Source organism: Homo sapiens, chromosome 16 (assembly GCF_000001405.40).
Source record: "Homo sapiens chromosome 16, GRCh38.p14 Primary Assembly".
In the NCBI taxonomy this organism is placed as follows: Eukaryota; Metazoa; Chordata; class Mammalia; order Primates; family Hominidae; genus Homo; species Homo sapiens.
This window is the reverse complement of record NC_000016.10, coordinates 57392816-57416077: the sequence shown is the minus strand read 5'-3', so window position 1 is coordinate 57416077 and position 23262 is coordinate 57392816. Positions and strand designations below refer to the sequence as shown.

At 49.9% G+C, this 23262-nt stretch overlaps 1 protein-coding gene across 4 annotated transcripts, besides 2 other annotated features; it reads right to left on the bottom strand.

Moving 5' to 3' along the window:
* CCL17 (C-C motif chemokine ligand 17) lies at positions 15-19985 on the bottom strand. 4 transcript variants are annotated; one of them, XM_017023530.2, is made up of 6 exons: positions 19710-19985; positions 19352-19415; positions 11242-11325; positions 2076-2207; positions 880-997; positions 15-313 (listed from the first exon to the last, which is right to left on the bottom strand). In XM_017023530.2, the coding sequence occupies exons 3-6, from the start codon at positions 11264-11266 to the stop codon at positions 217-219; spliced, it is 372 nt and encodes a 123-aa protein (XP_016879019.1). In that variant the 5' UTR covers positions 11267-11325; positions 19352-19415; positions 19710-19985; the 3' UTR covers positions 15-216. The 4 variants fall into 4 exon arrangements, with proteins under 4 accessions (XP_016879019.1, XP_011521558.1, NP_002978.1 ...); XM_011523256.3 differs by having other exon boundaries at positions 2076-2204; NM_002987.3 differs by lacking the exons at positions 19352-19415; positions 19710-19985 and having other exon boundaries at positions 2076-2204; positions 11242-11311.
* Positions 2171-2220: an enhancer, noted in NCBI's record as "active region_10895". NCBI's record gives its function as "activates an Ori minimal core promoter by ATAC-STARR-seq in GM12878 lymphoblastoid cells {active_cell/tissue: GM12878}" and the evidence as "EXISTENCE:reporter gene assay evidence [ECO:0000049][PMID:35858748]".
* Positions 15609-15658: an enhancer, noted in NCBI's record as "active region_10894". NCBI's record gives its function as "activates an Ori minimal core promoter by ATAC-STARR-seq in GM12878 lymphoblastoid cells {active_cell/tissue: GM12878}" and the evidence as "EXISTENCE:reporter gene assay evidence [ECO:0000049][PMID:35858748]".
* Positions 19986-23262: the final 3277 nt, after the last annotated feature.

Genomic DNA, 23262 nt, shown 5'->3' with positions numbered 1-23262 from the left:
ACGCTGACACAGACTGAGGATAAAGACTTTAATCTGGGCCCTTTGTGCCCATGGCTCCAGTTCAGACAAGGGGATGGGATCTCCCTCACTGTGGCTCTTCTTCGTCCCTGGAAGGCCTCCCCTGGACCCAGGCGCTCAGGGTGGGGGCGGTGAACACCAACGGTGGAGGTCCCAGGTAGTCCCGGGAGACAGTCAGGAGTCTGGGGTGAGGAGGCTTCAAGACCTCTCAAGGCTTTGCAGGTATTTAACTGCATTCTTCACTCTCTTGTTGTTGGGGTCCGAACAGATGGCCCTGCCCTGCACAGTTACAAAACTACACAGAAGGAGGACGTTACCAGGAGTGGCAGGGGGGGAAGGGCCCCCAGAGTCCCTGGGACGGCCCGCCCTGTGCTGACCAGGATTCCAAGGCTCCAAGAGGGGCAGGAAGTTGCTGCTGTCACACAGGGCATTGGTGGCAGATCTGGGACTTCAGGCTCTGTCCCGAGTAATCTCGACCCTCCCAGGGAGCCAGGGCTGCAGGAACTTGTGCCCACCCCTCAGCCTGCCCATGCCCCCAGACAGTCTAGAGCCTGGGACGTGGAGACTGCGGGCAGGGCTCAGGCCCAGGCTGGGGGAGGTGACCACATTGCCCCTGACCAGCTGTGTGACCTGGGGGTGTTCATTGCTCCCGGGGCCTCAATTTCACCACAAATCAAGGAATAGGTTGGACCTCATGGCCTGCGGCCCTTTTGGGTCCCACAGTGTGGGGAGCCTGCAGGGGTTGGGGAGGAAGGCCCCGCTGTCTCTTCCCTGCTCCCCATTGGCCGTCCTGGGAGCTCCAGGGTGCACTTGTCCCCATGCTTGGCCCTGAGGAGCAGGGGTGGAGCCAGGGGGACTTACACGATGGCATCCCTGGAGCAGTCCTCAGATGTCTGGTACCACGTCTTCAGCTTTCTAAGGGGAATGGCTCCCTTGAAGTACTCCAGGCAGCACTCCCGGCCCACATTGGTCCCTCGAGCTGCAGGGAGAGGAGCGGGGCAGGGGTGTCTGTGAGTGTCTGCGTGTGTGTTGCGGGGACCTCTGGGGGGTGTTCGTGGAAGATCTGCATGTGCGTGTCCATGTGTGCATCTGTGTGTGATGACTGCATGTGTATCACTGCCTATGTGTATGTGTGTGTGTCTGTGTGTTACCATACACAGGTGTGTGTGAGGCTTCTGTGTATGTTGTGGGGTCCCGTGTGTTTGTGGGTGTGCATGTTTTGTGTGTCTGTGGGGGATTCTGTGTGTCCTGTGAGTGCCTACGTGTGTGTCTCTGTGCATCTGTGCGCGTCCCTGTATGTCTATACCTGGCAACCTTATTTCATTTTTCCTTTCCCAACCTAATATAAGAATCTCTTTTTTCAGTCTGGGCGCCGTGGCTCATGCCTGTAATCCCAGCACTTTGGGAGGCCAAGGCGGGTGGATGGCCTGAGGTCAGGAGTTCGAGACCAGCCTGACCAACATGGTGAAAACCCATTGGTGGCGTGGTGGCCGGGCACCTATATTCCCAGCTACTCGGGAGGCTGAGGCAGGAGAATCGCTTGAATCCGGGAGGCAGAGGTTGCAGTGAGCCAAGATCACACCATTGCACTCCAGCCTGGGCGACAGCGCAAGACTCCATCTCAAAAAAAAAAAAAAAAAAAAAAAAAAGAATCCTTTTTTACATGCTCTTGGAAACAATTCTCCTATCTTTATGCTGATTCCCTCATTGTGCATAAAACCTGTTAATAAAACAGAAGCTAATAAATAATTTTGAGAATTGTTCATTTTCCATTGCACAACTACAGCCACAGCCCCCACCTCACGGCCATTGCAGCCCAAGATGTGCTCGCCTTGGTCCTCACCAAGCCCACCCGCAAGAGCTGGGGCATCGTCATCATCAACATTTTTCTCTGCTTGTTTCCCTCAAAATCCTAGTGCTGTGGGCTTCTCACGTCTTTTGTGGGAGTAGGTGGGGTGTAAATAATACACAAACGTGTGTATTGCTGTGGTGGTCTTCATGCCCCCAACCCCTGTCCTCCCGGTGCCTGCCCCTGGCCACCTGTCCCCTGCTCTCACCTGCGTGGATGTGCTGCAGAGAAGCCCCCAGGAGGAGGGTGACCAGGGCCAGCATCTTCAGTGGGGCCATGGTGCCAGGAGCCCAGGAGGGAGTCTCTGTGTGCAGGTCCCTCTGCTCAGGGAGACACCCTGCTGAGAGTCGAGGGTGGCAGTGACCTATTTAACCTCTTTGGGGGTCTTGCCCCGCCCCTCTGTCACCTCCTCACATCCTTCCCTAGACCAGTGAAGTTCGAAGAATTTGAGATGATTCAGGAGAAGTCTAGCTCTTGGAATGTTTGTGGATTTCCAGAGAATGGGCACTCAACTGGAGACAGAGGTGGGGTACATGTGTCTAGAGCCCATGGCAGTGACACACTTCTCCTTTCAAAGGGGACATTTCTTGGTTCCTCTATTAGAATTGAAAAGCCTCCACGCACAGCTGGGTTCATCTCTCTGTAGCTGGAGAGCATCCTTCATGCATGGTGGCTTGAGCAGGGGGCAGACGGAAGTGTCGGGGAGTCAACCAGGCAGAAACCAAGCAGAGCTCTTCTCCTGGACCATGAGTGAGCTTCAGGGTGCTGCCAGGGCCACCCTGGCTGCCGGGCATGGGCCCATGGGCTCCTGGACCATGAGTGAGCTTCAGGGTGCTGCCAGGGCCACCCTGGCTGCCGGGCATGGGCACATGGGCATCACTCTGCAGGGAGATCCATGCTTTATCTGCCTCCGAGAGGCTGAGGCCCAGCCAGGGCACAGAGCAGCTTTGGTTGGTGTCCCATCCCAGGTGAGGCCCTGACCACAGGAGGCAAGAGCCCAACGGTGCTTCGATTCAGTCCAAATAGCTCAGGAAACCACGTTCCCCTAAATGGGATGCCTTACACTAAGATACAGAACAAAACGAAGGGGTCAGTGGGAGATGCTGCTTCTCACTTCTAGCAGAGCTGTGTCCCGGAGTCAGTACTGGACGCCTGGTCAGGGTCCAGCCTGAGCCAGGCCCTGAGCTGACTTTCCAGGCACCCCAGCTCATGGCATGGCAGATGACAGAACGTAAGTCCACTTTCCAGTGGGGGCAGGAATAAAACAAGAATTGCAATAATGAGGTTGATAAAGTTGGTGAACTGGCTTCTCTGTGACTCTAGCGTCTCAGCCCCAGGCCACAGCATCACTGCATGCGGGTCAGTCCCCTGGCCACCCGAGGAAATTGCCGGTCGCCCTGTTGGGGCTCCCGGGAGCCACAGCATGGGCGTCCCTACAGTAGGATGAGAGTCCCATGGCCTTCAGGTGGGCAGCACCAGGGAAGGGCAGCTCCAGGCAGGGCAGCACCTGGACTCTGATTGTGACATGGGGGACCTTGGCCTGGCTTCATCCTGTCCTTGCATGACCAGGGCCAACTCAAAATGACAGCACTGCCCCTCCAAAACATGGCGCAGGTGGCTTCCACCCTCTCACAGTCCACCCTGTGTTAATCACTAAATCATTACTAAGTTTTTCACTAACTGTCATGATAACTGCAACAGCCGCTATTTGTCATGAGATTTTTGTTTCTTGTTTTTAGATTCTGGGGATACCTGTGGAAACCCCACACTACTGGAGCATCGCTCAGAGCTAACCTCATCAGTCCTTAGGTAGAAGGGCAGGGATCCTATGAGAGGAAACCAGACAAAGACCCTCGACTTCGGAGGAGCCTCAGGCGCTCCTCTCCCCACCCCTCAGCAAGGGCTGCCTGGGAGCCTGTGGCTGCTTCCGCACCTGGGAGTGGGGCTTCCCTGCCCATGGCAGAATCTTTCTGTGGGCAGCATCCTCTATATGACCTCCGGCGGCTCACAGACCCTCTCTGGACCTCAATCTCATCACCTGTAGAGGGAAGTTTGGTCTGTCCCACAGAGCTCTGCCAAAACGGTAGATCTCAGGAAGATGGGGTCCCCCTTGGTGGGCCTCGCACCAACATTCCTCTGCTTCTCTGGGGGTCCCATCAGCTGCCAGAGACCCTGACCCTGCCCCCTCCTCAAGCCACAGTCCAGATGGGTTCTTTGCCCCCAGCCACCCCTCCTGTGCCCAGGGCTGTCTTCCATTTGCACGTGCAGAGGAGGGGGAGGGGAGGCTGCTCTTCCTGCCTGGGCACCTCTTTGGTGCCAACATCCCAGAGAAAGGGAGGGGCAGCCTCAGAGTAGCTCCCCGCAGAGTCCCCCTGCAAAGGAGGCCGCGCTGGGCAGGGGAAGGTGTGCAGGCACAGGGCAGCCCTGACCTGGAGACAGAGCCTGAGCCCAGAGGTGCAGGACCAGGCCTGGGTCCTCGGAAGAGGCAGGAAGGGGCGCCTCCGCCGACCACCCCTCCCTCCCTAGCTGCCCTCCATGCACTCTGCCCTGTGGCTTCTGCCTGCCCTCTTGTGGGGGCTCCACTTGCCGCAGAGGCCACCAATTGCTCTTCTGTGCTACACAACTGCAAGGGACAGCTGATTAATAACAAGTGAGCAGCCTGATTAATGATGAAGCAGCTGCAGTCCCGGCCACTGGGGAAACTCCCCGGTGGGTTCTGAGTCCTCTTCGCTTTCCTGCAGACTCAAAGCTTTCTTCAGAAGGACCCAAATTCCCCTGTTTGTTCTGGGGAACAAATCATGAAAGCAGCAGTGGAAGGTTCTGGACTAGGAAGGTTCTGGTTCAGTTCAAGGCTGGTGCAGGCTGCCTGGCTGGCAGGGGCAGCTGAGCCTCTGGGGGCTGTGCCCAGGGCTGCAGGGCGGACAGAGGCCCGACCCTGCTGTTGTGGGGTTTCACAGTGGGTAAGGGCGGGGGAACAGGCCCTGACCCCTCATAGGGACATGCAGGTGAGATTAAAGGGCTTTGGGGCATAGACTGGGGAGATGCTGCCTCTGGCCAGAATTCGTGGAAGGCTGCCTGAAAGAGGTGGCTGTAGGGCCTAGGGCTAGGTTTTGTAGATAAGATTCATACTGAGATTGGAAGAAAGGACATTGCACAGGGGGCACTGTTTAGGCAAAGGTGCAGAGAGGGGAATGTGCAGAGATAAATTAGGGCAACAGCATGAAACCCCGGCATGGGGCACTGCCTAAATGCAAGGCTAAGAGCCAGTCACACGAGGACTGGCTGTGTCTACCTTGCCCCGCGCCGTGGGCATCCCCAGCACCAAGCATGGTGCCTGGCATGCAGTGAACCTTCAGTGTCACCTGACCGAGTAAACACAGGACTGAAGGAAGGGAAGGCGAGATGGATGCAAAGGGCCCAGTGTGCCTCAGTCTTCTTTGGGAGGCAGCGGGGACCAGGGACATTTTTGAGGTGGTTTCCTCTCCAGGGATTAACCGAGTTTATCCCTCCTCAGTTCTCCCAGGCTATGGGATGGATGCCAAGGGAACTTCCAGACAAACTATTCTGAAGTCTGGGCCTGTGAGAAGCATCTTGAGAGATCTTTATGCTGCTGTGAGGATTCTAGGACCTGGAGGTCTGTCAGGGCAATCAGGAATGCTCCCTGGAGGAAGTGGCAGTGAGGCAGAGCTTTGTGGAGGGGCAGCAGGGGAGAGAGTGCTGTGGCCAAAGGAAGGGAAAGGGCCATGGCAGGGAAGCAGGCCAGACACTGTTAGGCCTATTAGGAGAGTGTGAAGGGTAATTGGATCTGAGTGGGAGGAGCGGCTGTGGTAACTCCTTGTCTCAACGCCTCTGACTAAAGTGGCCAGGCACACCACCCAGGCACCTGCCGCCCTTGCCCCAGGGGCTGCTGCAACACCCAACTCGGCTTTAGCCAGAGGGCACTGGGCCAGGCAGATATGGGGTCCTTCTCCCTGAAAGACAGGGAAGGAAGGTTCCTGCCCCAACCCCAGGCTCTGCCCAGGCTCGTGGAGAAGCCTGTCCCCGAGGCAGTGGGCGGAACCAGGATGCTCTCAGTCACAGGGCAGCCAAGCGGCTGGGGCGGCAGCTCTTCATCATCTTCAGTTGCATTTGACAGCTGTGGCTGACCAGGAGGGGGCAGCTAGGCAGAAGTGTCATCCCGGTCACACCAGTGTCACCTGAGGCTCATCAGGGCAGTGACTTGCCCGAGGTCTCCCGGAGCAGCTCAGTAAGGATTGAGCATTTGTTTACTCATCTCCATCGCTGACAGCTGAAACTGGATTCATCCTGCCCTGCCCAGGGGGCTGGGAATCAGGGATCGGGGCCAGCTCAGCTGAGATGTGAGGGTCCCAAATAGTATTTCCACCCCTGACCCCAAAATAGGCCCCAATCCCCTGTCCCAAAGACTTGACGTGCCCATTGATGTGTCTGTCGTTCCTGACAGGGTGTCCTCTTGGTTCCTCAGGTCAGAAACCCAAGGGTCATCTCTGTCCCTGGGCTCTTCCTCACTGCCCACATCCAGTCCATCAGCGAAGTGTGTTAGTTGGCTACCTGCATGCGTCCTGAATCCGTCTCCTTCTCCTCCTCCATCTCTCTGCTGGACCACAGCCGTGAACTCATGCCCCAGCTTCCAGGCCTTCCTGGTCCAGTCCATCTTCCTCTCAAAAGCCCATTGATCTCCAAAACACAAGTCTGAGCAAGGCTCTCCCCTCTTGAAATCCTTCAATGCCTCCCCGTTACTCTCAGGACGAAGCCCACATTTCTGCCTACTTCTCCAGGCTCAACTTTTTCCTCCAGCTCCATCACCCACTATATCATTTTGTCCCAGCCACATGGACCTTCTTTCAGTTCCTTGAAAATGCCGGGCCTTTACTGATGCCCAAGCCTTCGTACAAGCTGTTCTTCCTGTCTGGAACATTCTTTCCTGTTCCCCCGTCTCACTTCCTTTCACTCCTACTCTTATTTTAGAGTGCAGCTTGAACCCTTACTCCTTCCTTCCTCTATGTCCCCAGAGTTCACTGACTTCCCTCATCTTGGCTGTCTTCATATTGTATTGTGATTGCTAGTTTATTTGTTGGGACTCACACAAAAGACTGTAAAATCCTTGAAGGATCTCTTTTGTGTTCCAACTTATCCCTCCAGGACTTAGCACCTTAGTGGGTGCTCAATAAAATATGTTTATTAGGCCAGTTTGGTGGCTCACACCTGTAATTCCAATACTTTCGGAGGCAGAGGCAGGTGGATCACTTGAGCCCAGGAGTTCAAGACAAGCCTGGGCAACATGGTGAAACCCTGTCTCTACAAAAAATGCAAAAAAATGACCAGGCGCAGTGGCTCACATCTGTAATCCCAGCACTTTGGGAGGCTGAGGCAGGCGGATCACAAGGTCAGGAGATCGAGACCATCCTGGCCAACATGGTGAAACCCTGTCTCTACTAAAAATACAAAAAAAAAAAATTAGCTGGGTGTGGTGGCGTGTGCCTGTAATCCCAGCTGCTCGGGAGGCTGAGGCAGGAGAATCGCTTGAACCCGGGAGGTGGAGATTGCAGTGAGCCGAGATCACACCACTGCACTCCCTCCTGGGCAATATAGTGAGACTCCATCTCGAAAAAAAAAAATAGCCAGGTGTTACAGTGTGCACCTGTCCCAGCTACTCTGGAGGCCGAGTAGGGAGGATCACCTACATCAGGAAAGTTGAGGCTGCAGTGAGCCATGATTGTACCACTGCACTCCAGCCTGGGCGACAGAGTGAGACCCTGTCTCAAAAAATATATATATGTTTACTGAATGTATAAATAGGTGAGTGGTTGTATGGATGGGTGAATGAATGAATGGGTGAATGGATATGGATGGGTAAATGAGTGAATGGATGGATGGAGGATGGATGATGGATGGACGTGTGGGTGAGTGATGAATGGATGAGTGGCTGGAAGGTGGATGAAAGAATGGACGGATGGATGGATGGTAGATAAATGGATGGGTGGATGTGTGTATGGATGATGGATAGATGGATTGGTGGATGGATGGTGAAAGGATAAATAGATAGATGGATGGGTAGATGAATGGATGGATAGATGGATGGGTAGATGAATGGATAAATGGATGGGTAGATGGATGGATGGTAGATGGATGTGTGGATGGATGGCAAAAGAATAAATAGATGGATGGATGGGTAGATGGATGGATGGAGGGATGGATGGAAGAATGGATGGATAGATGGATGGATGGTAGATGGATGTGTGGACGGATGGTGAGAGAATAAATAGATAGATGGATGGGTAGATGAATGGATGAACGGATGGGTAGATGGATGTGTAGATGGATGGTAAAAGAATAAATGGATGGATGGGTAGATGAATGAATGAATGGATGGACAGACGGATGGATGAATGGATGGATACATGAATGGATGAATGAATGGGTGGATGGATGGATGGATGGATGATGGATGGATGGAAGGATGGATGAATGGGTTGATGGATGATGGATGGATGCATGAAACTGGATGGGTGAGCAGATGGATGGACTGATGGATGGGTGGGTGTATGTGTAGATGTATGGCTAGATAGATGGATGTGTGGTTGGATGGATGAATAGAAGTATGGGTGCATGGCTTGATAGATGATGAATGGATATATACATGCATGAATGCATGGATAGATGGATGGTCACTTAGAGATTCTGAACTACAACATGGGCCCAACTCACATTCTATCCCAGGGCCTCCTTCATCCAAATAGTTTTTAAACCAGTGTGTACCATCATTTCATGAGACACACCCGAATCCTTCTGTCATGGATAAAGCAGAGGAATCTAACCAAGGACACCCTGACTCCTCCCCCATCTAGTTTACAACTTCCTTGTGGTTGTGGCCATTTTTTGCCAAACCTATATTGCTTCAACTGTGGCTTGGATCTCAACCTTTATTCATCCCAGAGGGGCCTCCTTCCCTCAGTTGCACTGCCATCTTCTAGCTCTTTACTGTCTCCAATCCCATGACCCCCTTTCCCTCTGCTGACAACATGATCCTGTCTCTCCACTTCCATAAAGACCTCCCCTTGACTTCAACACCCTCGCATGCTGCCCTCCCATTTCTCCTTTCATTCATGACCAAACTGCTCCGATGTGTGGTCTGTACTTCCCTCTACCATTTCCTCTCTGCCCACTTGTGATTTAATTAATCCTCAGCAATGTGGCTTCCAGCTCTGATGCTCTAGGAAAGGTGCTCTCACTGAGCCTCTTGATCCCCTCCAGCCACTCCCTGAACCTCCCACTGCCTTACATTGGGCAGTGATTACCAGCAGAGGCTCTGGAATCATTACCTACAGCCCTGAGTCCCAGTCACTCTTCTACTTGTTCCTGGTTGTGTGACTAACAGCGATTTTATGAACTTCAGTTTTCTCATCTGTGAAATGGGTGTGATGATAAGACACTCCCTCATGGTATGACCTGGAAAACTAACTGAGATGAAGTCTATAAAGTTCCTAGTCTCCAGCTGGCTCAGGGAATCGCCTTGTCATCCCTGGGAACCTACCATCCTTCTTGATGCTCCTCCCACTGGGATTTGGGACATGGTTCTTCCCTGAGCTCCCTGTGAGCTCCTCTTCTCAGAAATGTCCCTGAGCTCTCACTATAGGCTGGGGTGGGTGTTGGGGCAGGGGAATCTCAGCAGTTAAGTCTATTAGTTTACTTTGTCCTCACAACAGCTTCAGGGAGTAAGAACTATTAGTTTCTACAGATGAGAAAATTAGGAACTGACCAGAGTAGTTTAAGCAACTGGTCCACTGTAATCCCAGCACTTTGGGAGGCTGAGGTGGGAAGATCGCTTGAGCCCAGGAGTCTGAGACCAGCCTGGGCAACATAGTGAGACTCTGTCTCTACAAAAAAAATAAAATGAAAATTAGCCAATCATGGTGGTGCACGACTGAGCCATGACTGTGGCACTGCGCTCCAGCCTGGGCAAAAGAGCAAGATTCCATTTCAACAACAACAAAATAAATCTGCTTCATGGGCACAGAGCTAGCTGGTGGCAGGAGCAAGCCTGGGCTTCTGTCCTAGACTTTGTTTTTGCCTCAAGCAACCTTCCCTTCCTCCCTGACATCATCTACCCCAGATCTTTTACCTCTGGATAAAGACTTCTTTTTTTTTTTTGAGACGGAGTCTTGCTCTTTCGCCCAGGCTGGACTGCAGCAGCGCTATCTCGGCTTACTGCAAGCTCCACCTCCCGGGTTCACGCCATTCTCCTGCCTCAGCCTCCCAAGTAGCTGGGACTACAGGCGCCCGCCACCATGCCCGGCTAATTTTTTTTTTTTTTTGTATTTTTAGTAGAGACGGGGTTTCACCGTGTTAGCCAGGATGGTCTCGATCTCCTGATCTCGTGATCCACCTGCCTCGGCCTCCCAAAGTGCTGGGATTACAGGCGTGAGCCACCGCACCTGGCCTGATAAATACTTCTTAAATCTCTGTCTCCAGCCCTGACCAGTAACTAATCAGACACACCCACCTGGACACTCCTCCTTCCGGCCCATCTTTCTGTGGCACCCCTCAGCTCTCTCTGCCTTGCAGCCTGGCCAGCTCTGTGCAGTTCTGTCCCCCACACTAACCTGTGAGCTGCTGGGAAGCAGAAGTCTGTCCTGCTATGGTTCACTCAGCCCCAGGTACCAGAAGGGCAAAACCGAGTTCCCTCTCACACCAGCCTCCTTTTTTTCTGTTCAAGCCAGCATTGTTTCCCATCTCCCCATCTGCCCCCAAGTCTGAAACTTTGCCCTTGACTCATTCCTCGCCTCCATCCCCCACATTACATCAGGCAGAGACTCTGCCCAGCGCTGTCTTCAGTGGGAGCTTGGCTTCCTTGCTTCCTTCTCATCTCCACTGGCTCAGCCCTCATCCTTCACACCCAGAGAGTCTCAAAAACTTCTGGGCCTATTTCTTCCTCTCTGGTCTCTCCTGACACCTCCCTCATCAGCTGCATGCCCACATGTGGTGGATCTTTCACAAGGGCTGCCCTGACCATGTAATGCCCCCTTCCTCCAAAACCGTCAATGGCTCCCTGCTTCCTTCCCCATCCAGTCAAAACTTTTCAGGCCAATCTTGAAGCTGTACCTTCCATCTAGCCCCTCCTTCCTATTCAGTCTCATCTCCCTGCTCCCCAACATTGAGCTTTCTTGAGGGCCAGTGCGTCCCCTCACTTTGTGACTTGGTTTGCTGCTTCCAAACTCCTGTCCCCTTCTTGTATGGATTATCTTCCCTTGATCCAAAGTCCATCCACCGCTCATCTAACACATGCCCTGAAAGATCCAGCGAGGGGGTCACCTCACAGTGGAGGGGTTAGGAGCAAAGACTCTAGGTCAGGTCACCTGGTTTTGAATTCAGCTCTCCCATCAGCAGGCGGTGACACTGTGAGCTCAAAGTCACTTCTCTCTGAGCCTCAGTTTCTACAGCTGCAAAATGAAAATAATAACAATAATTACATTAGAAGGCTTTGGTTTGCATCAACTGCCTTACTGCTTATATCTGGCAAATAGTACACGTTTCTGACTTTAAATATCATCTATATGCCAACCACTCCCAAGTTTCTCTCGCAAACTCCAGCCTCCTTCTACGTCCAGCTGCCTACTCGCCATACCAAATAGGCAGCTCCAACCCCCCAAGTCTGAAGCTGAATTTCTGATTCCCACCCACCCCTACACCTGCTCTCTCCTCCTTCTCTGCCAGCCCCTTCCTTCCGGTTACTAGGGCCAGAAACCTGGGCGCTATCCCTGACGCCTCTTCCTCTCGCCCCCAACTTCCCATCTGTTGGGTGAGCTCATGTCTCTGCTTTCCAAATACACCCAGAAACCAGCATCAATCCCTGGCTTCCTACAACTGCCTTCTGGGTGCTCTCCCTGTCTCCATCCTTGCCCCCTACAGTGTATTCTCAGCACAGCAGCAGAGGGACCATGAATCTCCCGTGTTCAGAACGTCCCCGTGGCTCTCCACCTCACGCAGAGGACAAGTCCAAGACCCTCCAGCAGCCACGAGGCCCCGCGAGTTCTGTGCCCTGCTCTCTGCCCACCTGTATCTCCTGGTTCCCTGGTTCACTCTGCCCCAGCCACCCTGGCCTCCTCCCTATGCCTCAAACCAACCAGACAGACATGCTCCTTCCTGAGGAGGTTTGCACGGACTGTTCTTTCAGCCTGGAATGTTGTCCCCAGATACCTGCAGGACTCACTCCTTCACCTTTTTCAAACTTTTTTAGGCCGGGCGTGGTGGCTCACGCCTGTAATCCCAGCACTTTGGGAGGCCGAGGCAGGTGGATCACTTGAAGTCAGGGGTTCGAGACCAGCCTGGCCAACATGGTGAAATCCCATCTCTACTAAAAATACAAAAATCAGCTGAGCGTGGTGGCAGGTGCCTGTAGTCCCAGGTACTTGGGAGGCTGAGGCAGGAGAATCACTTGAACCCAGGAGGCAGAGGTTGCAGTGAGCCAAGATCACACCACTACACTCCAGCCTGGGCAACAGAGCAAGACTCTATCTCAAAAAATATATATATATATATATTATATATATTTATAATATATATAATATATATTATAAATATATATTATATATATTATAAATATATATTATATATATTATAAATATATATTATATATATATAAAATATATATTTATAATATATATAACATATATATAATATAATATATATATTATAATATATATATTATTATATAATATATATAATATAATATATATTATAATATAATATATATATTATAATATATATTATAATATAATATATATATTATAATATATATATTATATATAATATATGTTATATATATTATAATATATATATTATATATATTATAGATAATAATATATATTATATATATTATAGATAATAATATATATTATATATATTATAGATAATAATATATATTATATATATTATAGATAATAATATATATTATATATATTATAGATAATAATATATATTATATATATTATAGATAATAATATATATTATATATATTATAGATAATAATATATATTATATATATTATAGATAATAATATATATTATATATATTATAAATATATATATGTATTTGTTTAGATTACATCTTTCAGTGAAGTCAAATTGCATGCCATCCCCATCTCTTCCTCTGCTCTTTTTTTTTTTTTTTTTTGCTGAAATGCTTATATCCTCTGACATGCTAGGCCATTCGCTTACTTATGTCTGCTGTTTACTATCTGTCTCCCACCTGTACCCCCACCCCCATCCTACTGGGATGTAAGTTGCATGGGACAGAGGTTTCTGTTTCTTTTCTTTAATGGAATATATCTCGGCACATGGTAGGCCTTCAATACATAGTTTTTGGATTAAGTGAGTGAATGGATAAATGGCTGGTGTTGTTCCTGAAGCAGAATGCAGAAACCCTTCTTGTTACTCTCACTCTTACCAATGGACTTGTCTCAATGTCTCTCTGATGCCTGGGCTCCAGGACTTCTGAGCTTCCACTCAAGCCTTGTAAATGAGTGCCTTTTATTCATTGCTAGAGTCTGACTCTCTTTCCAAGGAACATCTGTCCCTGTTTCCAAGCTACTTCAAAGGCAGGTCTATGGTCCCCTGATGACATTGGGAAAATTTGAGGTTCACCCCTCAGGGTGTAGTGACAGAAGTCACTGAGAACTCAGAAGTCCTCTGCTCCTAGTCTGGCAGCCTGCCTGCAGTCGGGGTGGGGGGATTGTCCTGCCAAACTCGACCCTCTGGGCACCCGAGGAAGATCTGTTCAGCACCAGGGTCAGTGACAAGCACCCAGCATCCTGGGAAGAAGCCTCACACCCTTTCCAAGGAGCCTGGTGGATCTGGCCTCTTTGAAAGGCCTTGGGAATCTCAGCCACTGCAAAAGCCAGCAGGGAATGGGGTCACGACTCAACAGCATTTGGAGATTTGACACGTCGCACAATGCCACCTGGGTCATGGCTCTCCCCAGGGGAGGCTGAGGGTATTGGGAAGGGCTGTGGCCACTTCTGAGCAAGCCCCAGACCTGGGAAGCAGGAGTCCCTAGAGAGCCCTTTGCAGGGAAGAACCAGCACCTCAGCTGCCCTCTGAGCTGTGGCTGTCCCTCTGCACTGTGGGGCTTTCGCCTGAACCACACTTGGCTAACAATAGGGTCCCCCTTCCTTTCTGCCTTGCCTGGGCTCTGCTCTCTCAGCTTATGGGTGACTGGGCTCTCTCCACTGTCTCAGGTTGAGTTCATTAAGGATGTGCTCCTTGGGGAAGTGGAGGGAAAGTTGGGGAGTGAAGACAGAGAAGGAGTGGAAACCCAGCAAGGGTGTGACCTCAGGTGACGTCCCCGGGGGGCAGCTTCAGCCAGATTCCTTGGAGGGGCACAGGAGAGTGATTGAAAGTAAAATCAACCAAAAGGAGTGGGGCCTGGGTAGGGCATCAGCGTTGCTAACCACACTACTGTACCCACCACCAGGTTAACAGATGTATTACCACGTCACTGAGCCCCGCTTTCCTCCCCTAATCACAGCCTCTATGCACTAGAGGAACAGAATTTGGCAGCCATTAGTCCCACGCATTTCTTCACAGCTCACTAACTCATATGTGTGTATGTCCTTAAGCAATATATAGCATTGTTCATGCACATTTCTTTTTTTCTTTTTTTTTTTTTTTCCAGACAGAGTCTTGCTCTGTTTCCCAAGCTGGACTGCAGTGGTGTGATCTTGTCTCACTGCAACCTCTACCTCCAGGGTTCAAGCGACTCTCCCACCTCAGCCTCCTGAGTAGCTGGGATTATAGGGGTGCACTGCCATGCCCAGCTAATTTTTGTATTTTTAGTAGAGACGGGGTTCCACCATCTTGGCCAGGCTGGTCTCAAACTCCTGACCTCAGATGATCCTCCTGCCTTGGCCTCCCAAAGTGCTAGGATTACAGGCGTGAGCCACCACACCGGGCCTGTTCATGCTCATTTCTAAGCTTTATATCGACACCATCATCTTGTATCTATACTTCCACATCTTGCGGCATCACACCTGACAGTGTCATTTGTGTTGATATATGCCAAATGTATAGTTCTTTCTTTTCATCATTGTATGCTATTCTATACACCAACTATACCACAATTTACAAAAAGAAGAAGAAGAAGAAGAAGAAGGGTGTCTGGAGTGAGGCTGCCTGCTGGCTTAGTTACTAAGTGCGTGGCTTTGGGTAAGTTTCTTTTTTTTTTTTTGAGATGGGGTCTCGCTCTTGTCACCCAGGCTGGAGTGCAATGGCATGGTCTCGACTCACTGCAACTTCTGTCTCCAGGATCAAGTGATTCCCCTTCCTCAGCCTCCCAAGTAGCTGGGATTACAGGCACACGCCACCAAGCATGGCTGATTTTTGTAGTTTTAGTAGAGATGGGGTTTCACCATGCTGGCCAGGCTGGTCTGGAACTCCTGACCGCAGGTGATCCACCCCGGTTGGCCTCCCAAAGTGCTGGGATTACAGGCATGAGCCATTGTGCCCGGCCCGGGTAAATTTCTGAATCTCTCTGTGCCTTTGCATTCCCATCTGGAAAATGAGGCTCAGATGGAAACCAGCCCAATGCTCCCATACACTGTTCTTTGGACAAACATGGAAATTGACCCTTCTGGTCTTAAAGCTTGAAACTTATATTTGCTTTATCTGGGTTCCTTCTGCAAGGAATGACCATTGGGCCTCTCAAAAAAAAAAAAAGTGTCAAAGAACTGAAACCCACCAGATTACTGTACCAGATACCAGACCCCCTCATTCACCATGATTGCTTCATTGCCCCTGTCTAGTTCCTGTTTTCTTTTATATTTTATAATTTTTTTTTTGAGACGGAGTCTCGCTCTGTTGCCCAGGCTGGAGTGCAGTGGCGCAATATCAGCTCACTGCAAGCTCCGCCTCTCGGGTTCACGCCATTCTCCTAGCTCAGCCTCCCAAGTAGCTGAGATTACAGGCGCCCGCCACTACTCCCAGCTAATTTTTTGTATTTTTAGTAGAGATAGGGTTTCACCGCGTTAGCCAGGATGGTCTCGATCTCCTGACCTCGTGATCCGCCCACCTCCGCCTCCCAAAGTGCTGGGATTACAGGCGTGAGCCACCGCGTCCTGCCAGTTCCTGTTTTCTTATACATTGTTACATTTCTTCTCTGCTGTATAAACTCCTGGTTTTAGTCAATCAGGGAGATGGATTTCAGACTGAGCTCCCATCTGCTTGGTTGCAGCACTCGATTAAAGTCTTCCTTGGCAATACTTGGTGTCTCAGTGATTGGCTTTCTGTGTGGGGAGCAGCAGGACCTAGACTGCACCCATGGTGTTTTGGTAACACTATGAGCACGAGCTCATCTTTGAGCTGTGACAGGGATGACAATGAGAAAATGCATCCAAAGGCTCACAGGGATATCATGTGGACAGTGAACCTCATGAGAAGAAGGTCCATGTCAGGCCAGGAGCAGTGGCTTACGCCTGTAATACCAACACTTGGGAGGCCAAGGGGGCAGATCACCTGAGGTCAGGTGTTCAAGACCAGCCTGGCCAACATGGTGAAACCCCATCTCTACTAAAAATAAAAAATTAGCTGGGCAAGGTGGCACACACCTGTAGTCCCAGCTACTTTGGAGGCTGAAGCAGAAGAATCGCTTGAACCTAGGAGGCAGAGGTTGCAGTGAGCCAAGATCCCACCTTTGCACTCCAGCCTGGGCGACAGAGCAAGATTCCTTCTCCAAAAATAAAAAAAATAAATAAGTAAAAAAAAGAAGGTCAATGTCTTATTGATCAGCATCTCTGGCAATAAACTAATGACTCCTTTCCTCCACCTCTCCCCAGGCCACCACTGCTGTTGCCCTGGTGGTTACCTACCCCTGACACTCTAGAAAGAGGGCCCCAGCCATGTGGATGGGATTTCTCCTTCATTGATCTGATGGTGGTCGTGGCAATGTATAAGCACCTGGAAACAGGTCAGACAGGTCCAGGTGAGAACCAGGGGTGGGGAGAAGGGGAGGCCCAGGAAAACATCCAGGTGGCAGAAGCTCTGGCACTCAGAGAGTCCTGATGCAAGATCTTAGACTCATCAATGAGGCAGTAATTCCTCTATATCCAGCTGTACCCAACCCCTACACCCTACTCTCAAATACCAGAGGAAGCAGAATTGTTCACTGTTCTGGACCTCAAGGATGGCTTCTTCTGCATTCCCCTGCACTCTGACTCCCAGTTTCTCTTTGCCTTTGAGGATCCCACAGACCACACATCCCAACTTACATGGACGGTCTTGCCTCAAGGTTTAGGGATAGCTCTCATCTGTTTGGTCAGGCACTGGCCCAAGATCTCGGCCACTTCTCAAGTTCAGGGACTCTGGTCCTTCAGTATGTGGATGATTTACTTTTGGCTACCAGTTTGGAAGCCTCATGCCAGCAGGCTACTCTAGATATCTTGAACTTTCTAGCTAATCAAGGGTACAAGGCATCTAAATTGAAGGCCCAGCTCTGCCTACAACAAGTCAAATATCTAGGCCTAATCTTAGCCAGAGGAACCAGGGCCCTCAGCAAAGAATGAATACAGCCTATACTGGCTTATCCTCACCCTAAGACATTAAAACAGTTGCAGGGGTTCCTTGGGATCACTGGCTTTTGCCAACTATGGATCCCCAGATACAGCGAGATGGCCAAGCCTCTCTATACTCTAATCAAGGAGACCCAGAGGGCCATCTAGTAGAATGGGAACCAGAGGCAGAAACAGCCTTCAAAACCTTAAAGCAGGCCCTAGTACAAGCTCCAGCCTTAAGCCTTCCCAGAGGACAAAACTTCTCTTTACACATCACAGAGAGAGTGGGAATAGCTCTTGGAGTCCTTACTCAGACTCGAGGAATAACCCCACAACCAGTGGCATACCTAAGTAAGGAAATTGATGTAGTAGCTAAAGGCTGGCCTCACTGTTTATGGGTAGTTGCGGTGGTGGCCATGTTAGTATCAGAGGCTATCAAAATAATACAAGGAAAGGATTTCACCATCTGGACTACTCATGATGTAAATGGCATACTAGGTGCCAAAAGAAATTTATGGCTATCAGACAACCATCTGCTTAGATACCAGGTGCTACTCCTTGAGGGACCGGTGCTTCAAATATGCACCTGTGCGGCCCTCAGCCCTGCTACTTTTCTCCCAGAGGATGGGGAACCAATTGAGCATGACTGCCAACAAATTGCAGCCCAGACTTATGCCACCCAAGAGGATCTCTTGGAAGTCCCCTTAGCTAATCCTGACCTTAACCTATATGCTGATGGAAGTTCATTTGCGGAGAATGGGATACAAAGGGCAGGTTATGCCATAGTTACTGATGTAACAGTACTTGAAAGTAAGCCTTTTCCCCTAGGGACCAGCGCCCAGTTACCAGAACTAGTGGCACTTACCCAAGCCTTAGAACTGGGAAAGGAAAAAAAGAATAAATGTGTACACAGATAGCAAGTGTGCTTATCTAATCCTACATGCCCATGCTGCAATATGGAAAGAAAGGGAGTTCCTAACCTCTGGGGGAGCTCCCATTAAATACCACAAGAAAATCATGGAGTTATCGCATGCAGTGCAAGACCCCAAGGAAGTGGCAGTCTTACACTGCTGAAGCCATCAAAAAGGTGAAGGAGAAAAGGCAGAAGGAAACCGTCAGGCAGACGCTGAGGTCAAAATTGCTGCCAGGTGGAAACTCCCATTAGAAATACCTAGAGAAGGACCCTTGGTATGGAACAACCCTCTCCAAGAGATTAAGCCCCAGTATTCCCTGACTGAAACAGAATGGGGACTTTCATGGGGGCATAGTTTTCTCCCCTCGGGATGGTTAACGACAGAAGAGGGCAGCCAGTGGAAAATACTTAAGACCCTCCACCAAAGTTTTCATATGGGTATTGAGAACACTCATCAAATGGCCAAATCCCTATTTACAGGGCCAAATCTCCTCCGGACCATCCGACAAGTAGTCAAAGCCTGTGATGTGTGCCAAAGGCATAATCCCTTGGCCCATCGTAAGGCCCCTCTGGGACAACAAAGAATAGGGCACCATCCCAGAGAGGACTGGCAGTTAGACGTCTCTCATATGCCTAAGTCAAGGGGATTTCAATACTTGTTAGTCTGTGTTGAAACCTTTACAAATTGGATAGAAGCCTTCCCTTGCAAGACAGAGAAGGATCAGGAAGTGGTTAAAGTCCTAATTCATGAAATAATTCCTAGATTTGGGCTTCCCCAAAGCTTCGCAATCCAGCTTTTACACTCTTACATTTCCAACCTAACCTATTACACAAGCAATGAAAAAACCATACATGGCCCTGCAACCACGAATACTGTCTTAACTTTCCAAGCCCCTTTATGCATCCAATGCAACCTGTTATCAGGACTGCCCCTGGGGCACCTACTATCCCATCAGTGTAATTACACCCTACAACTTCAAGCCCCAACTGATCACAGTAACTTCCGACTCACCCAAACAGCTCCATTCAGATGGCTTGTCCGCTTCTCAGAGCCTCCAAAAATCATCACCTCCTTCCTGCTTAACAAACAGTCTAGGTTTAATAATGGCAAACATACTCCCTGCATGACCATTCACCCCTGGACCCCCTGCAGCAGCGCCCCCACCACTAGTGAATGCCTTCTCATCCCCTATTTCAATCACTCTCTTGAATGGTTCCTAGTAGATACAAAACGATTTTTTCTCCAATGGTAAAATAGAACACAGGGAGCCACTCAGTTTGCTCCCAACACTCCTTTCCAGCCGCTCACTGGAGCTACCTTGGCAAGTACTCTAGGAGTATGGGAAAATGAAAACAACAAACTCACACACCTTTTTAACATACACAACCAGTTCTGTGTACCCAGCCAAGGCATATTCTTCTTATGTGGAACTTCAACCTATATCTGCCTCCCCACCAACTGGACAGGCACCTGCACCTTAGTCTTCCTAAGTCCCAACATTGACATTGCCCCAGGAAATCAGACCCTATCAGTGCACCTCAAAGCTCAAGTCTGTCAGTGCAGAGCAATACAACTAATACCCCTACTTATAGGGTTAGGAATGGCCACTGTTACAGGAACCAGAATAGCCAGTGTATCTACTTCATTATCCTACTACCACACACTCTCTAAGATAGTTTGCAAGAAATAACAAAATCTATCCTTACTCTACAGTCCCAAATAGACTCTTTGGCAGCAGTGACTCTCCAAAACCACTGAGGCCTAGACCTCCTCACTGCTGAGAAAGGAGGACTCTGTACCTTCTTAGGGGAAGAGTGTTGTTTTTACAGTAACCTGTCAGGGATAGTATGAGACACCACCCGGTGTTTACAGGAAAAGGCTTCTGAAATCAGACAATGCCTTTCAAACTCTTATACCCACTTCTGGAGTTGGGCGACATGCTTCTCCCTTTTCTAGGTCCCGTGACAGCCATCTTGCTATTATTTGCCTTCGGGCCCTGTATTTTTGACCTCCTTGTCAAATTTGTTTCCTCCAGGATTGAGGCCATCAAGCTATAGATGGTTTTAAAAATGGAACCCCAAATGAGCTCAACTAACAACTTCTACCGAGGACCCCTGGATCGACCCACTGGCCCTTTGGCCCAGAGAGTTCCCCTCTGGAGGACACTACCACTGCAGGGCCCCTTCTTTGTCCCTATCCAGCAGGAAGTAGCTAGAGCAGTCATTACCCAATTCTCAACAGCAGTTGGGGTGTCCTGTTTAGAGCGGGGATTGAGAGGTAAAGCCAGCTGGACTTCCTGGGTCGAGTGGGGACTTGGAGAACTTTTCTGTCCAGCAAGAGGAATGTAAAACGCACCAATCAGCACTCTGTAGCTAGGATTGCAAAATGCACCAATCAGCGCTCTGCAGCTAGCAAGGGGATTGTAAAATGCACCAATCAGCACTCTGTAAAAATGCACTAATCAGCACTCTGTAGCTAGCAAGTGGATTATAAAATGCCACAATCAGCGCTCTGTAACAACGTACCAATCAGTGCTCTGTAGCTAGCAAGAGGATTGTAAAATGCACCAATCAGCACTCTGTAAAATGCACCAATCAGCAATCTGTAAAACACACCAATTGGCAGGATTCTAAAAGTAGCCAATCGTGGGGAGGATTGAAAAAAAGAGCACTCTGATAGGACAGAAATGGAACATGGGTGGGGCCAATAAGAGACTAAATGCTGCCCACCCCCAGCCAGCGGCGGCAACCTGCTTGGGTCCCCTTCCATGCTATGGAAGCTTTGTCCTTTTGCTCTTCACAGTAAACCTTGCTACCACTCACTCTTTGGGTCCGTGCCATCTTTAAGAGCTGTAGCACTCACTGCGAAGGTCAGCGGCTTCATTATTGAAGTCAGCGAGACCATGAACCCACTGGCAGGAACCAACTGGAGACACACTGAGACTCCAGAGCTTCTAGATTCTCCCTTGCCTCCTCACTCCTCTGGAGAGATTGGGCGACAAGCAGGGTGTGACCCAGTCCAGGCTTCCTGGGGATTCTGGCCTGCCTGGGGACAATGTCTTGACCGGGATGTGCTGGTGATTGCATAACCACAGGACCAGCTCAAACTAGTTTACCATTGCTTGAGTTGTTACAGATGGCACGGAGCCAAAACTGCATGTCATGTAGCCTGGCCCGGTGCAATCAGAGAAAACTTCCACCTCCTGAGAGTTAGCACCACCAACGTGGCAACCGGCCACATTGGCATCCCTGGGACTAGTTAACAGTGCCATAACAACTTGACCCACCCAGGGATCAGGGAGGCAGATTTGAGTGTTGTCTCCTGTCTCCTTGCCAGGTGACTTGGAATAAAGCTTTTTCTTTTCGCAAAAGTGGTGCTATAATATTGGCTTCTACTCACATCGGGCAGCAAGTCCATTACTTTGTAACAATTGGAGGATTCGAGGAGCTCAGGAGTGACTCGAACACATCACAGATGATCACTTTCAGTCTCTGACAGTCGTTTGAGGGAGTTAAATACTTTCCACCAGGAAATTCCTTGAAATTCAGCGCCCCACAAGGACAAGGTGGGCTTTTCCATCAGTTGGAAAGGGGCACGGCACAAGGAGTGTCAAAAGACACAGATGGGTGGGCTCTGGCCTTTCCCCTCTTCACCCTTTCCAGGATCTGCAGTGGTCACTGGGACACAAAGGGAAACAGGGCACATCCATGCCTTCCCTCACAGATCTTTCAGAAACACAGTGGGGCAGGCAGGTACAGCCAGGTCACGTGAGGGTTATGAGGGAAGACCCCAGGGGCCATGAGTCCGCTTAACAGGAAACCTTCCTTAAACTTAGAAGTCAGGGAAGGCCTCCTGGAAGAGGTGACATCTAAGCTGAGACAAAGGATGAATAGAAGTTGGCCAGGGGACTAGTTAAGGGGTAAGTTCTCTCAGATAGAGAGAAGACTGACTTGAAATATAAAGAAAATCAGCTGGGTGTGGTGGCTGATACCTGCAATCCCAGCACTTTGGGAGGCCGAGGTGGGTAGATCACCTGAGGTCAGGAATTTGAGACCAGCCTGACCAATATGGTGAAACCCTGTCTCTACTATATACAAATAATTATCCAGGCGTGGTGGCACGCACCTGTAGTCCCAGCTACTTGGAAGGCTGAGGCAGGAGAATCGCTTGAACCCAGAAGGCAGAGGTTGCAGTGAGCCAAGATTGTGCCATTTCACTCCAGCCTGGGCAAGAAGAGCACAAACTCTGTTTCAAAAAAAAAGAAAAGAAAAAGAAAAAAGAAAAAAGAAAAAAAATACTTAAAAATCTATAAAATGCACCAATCAGCACCAATCACTTTGGGAGGCAGGTGGATCACCTGAGGTCAGGAGTTTGAGACGAGCCTGGCCAACCCCATCTCTACTAAAAATACAAAAAATACAAAAACAAAAACAATACACACAAAAAAATCAGCTGGGTATGGTGGTGTGTGCCTGTAAACCCAGCTACTCAGGAGGCTGAGACAGGAGAACTGCTTGAACCTAGGAGGCGGAGGTTGCAGTGAGCCAAGAGTGTGCCACTGGACTCCACCCTGGGTGACAGAGCGAGAATCCATCTCAAAAAAAAAAAAAAATCTGTGGACAAATGTGCTGGGAGAGGGTGAGAAGGATGGGAACTGGCAGTAGGAGGATGAGGGTAAAGCCAATTGACCCATGGAAACCCTCCAGGAAAGCTGAGACACAGAAACTGCCCTTGCTGGTCCCTAGAGCTGTGCCTACACACCTGATTCCTGTGCCCACAGGCCCAGGTTACCCTGGTTTGGCTTCTGGGCTTAGGAGGTGCTTGCAAAACTGGCCGACCCAGATCAACTGGCAATGAGGTGAGGCTGGATAATGTTACTATTCTTTTCCCTATTTACTTCCTTGTCTGCTGAAGCATATCTG

What these genes read in the sequence shown, in the direction of transcription:
- CCL17 (XM_017023530.2), bottom strand. Translation starts at nt 11,266, where the DNA reads ATGGGAGAGCTGAATTCAAAACCAG. An exon ending in TCTGCAGCACATCCACGCAG is followed by an intron (nt 998 to 2,075) that starts GTGAGAGCAGGG and finishes CTCTCCCTGCAG; the next exon opens with CTCGAGGGACCAATGTGGGC. An exon ending in TGCTCCAGGGATGCCATCGT is followed by an intron (nt 314 to 879) that starts GTAAGTCCCCCT and finishes CCTTCTGTGTAG; the next exon opens with TTTTGTAACTGTGCAGGGCA.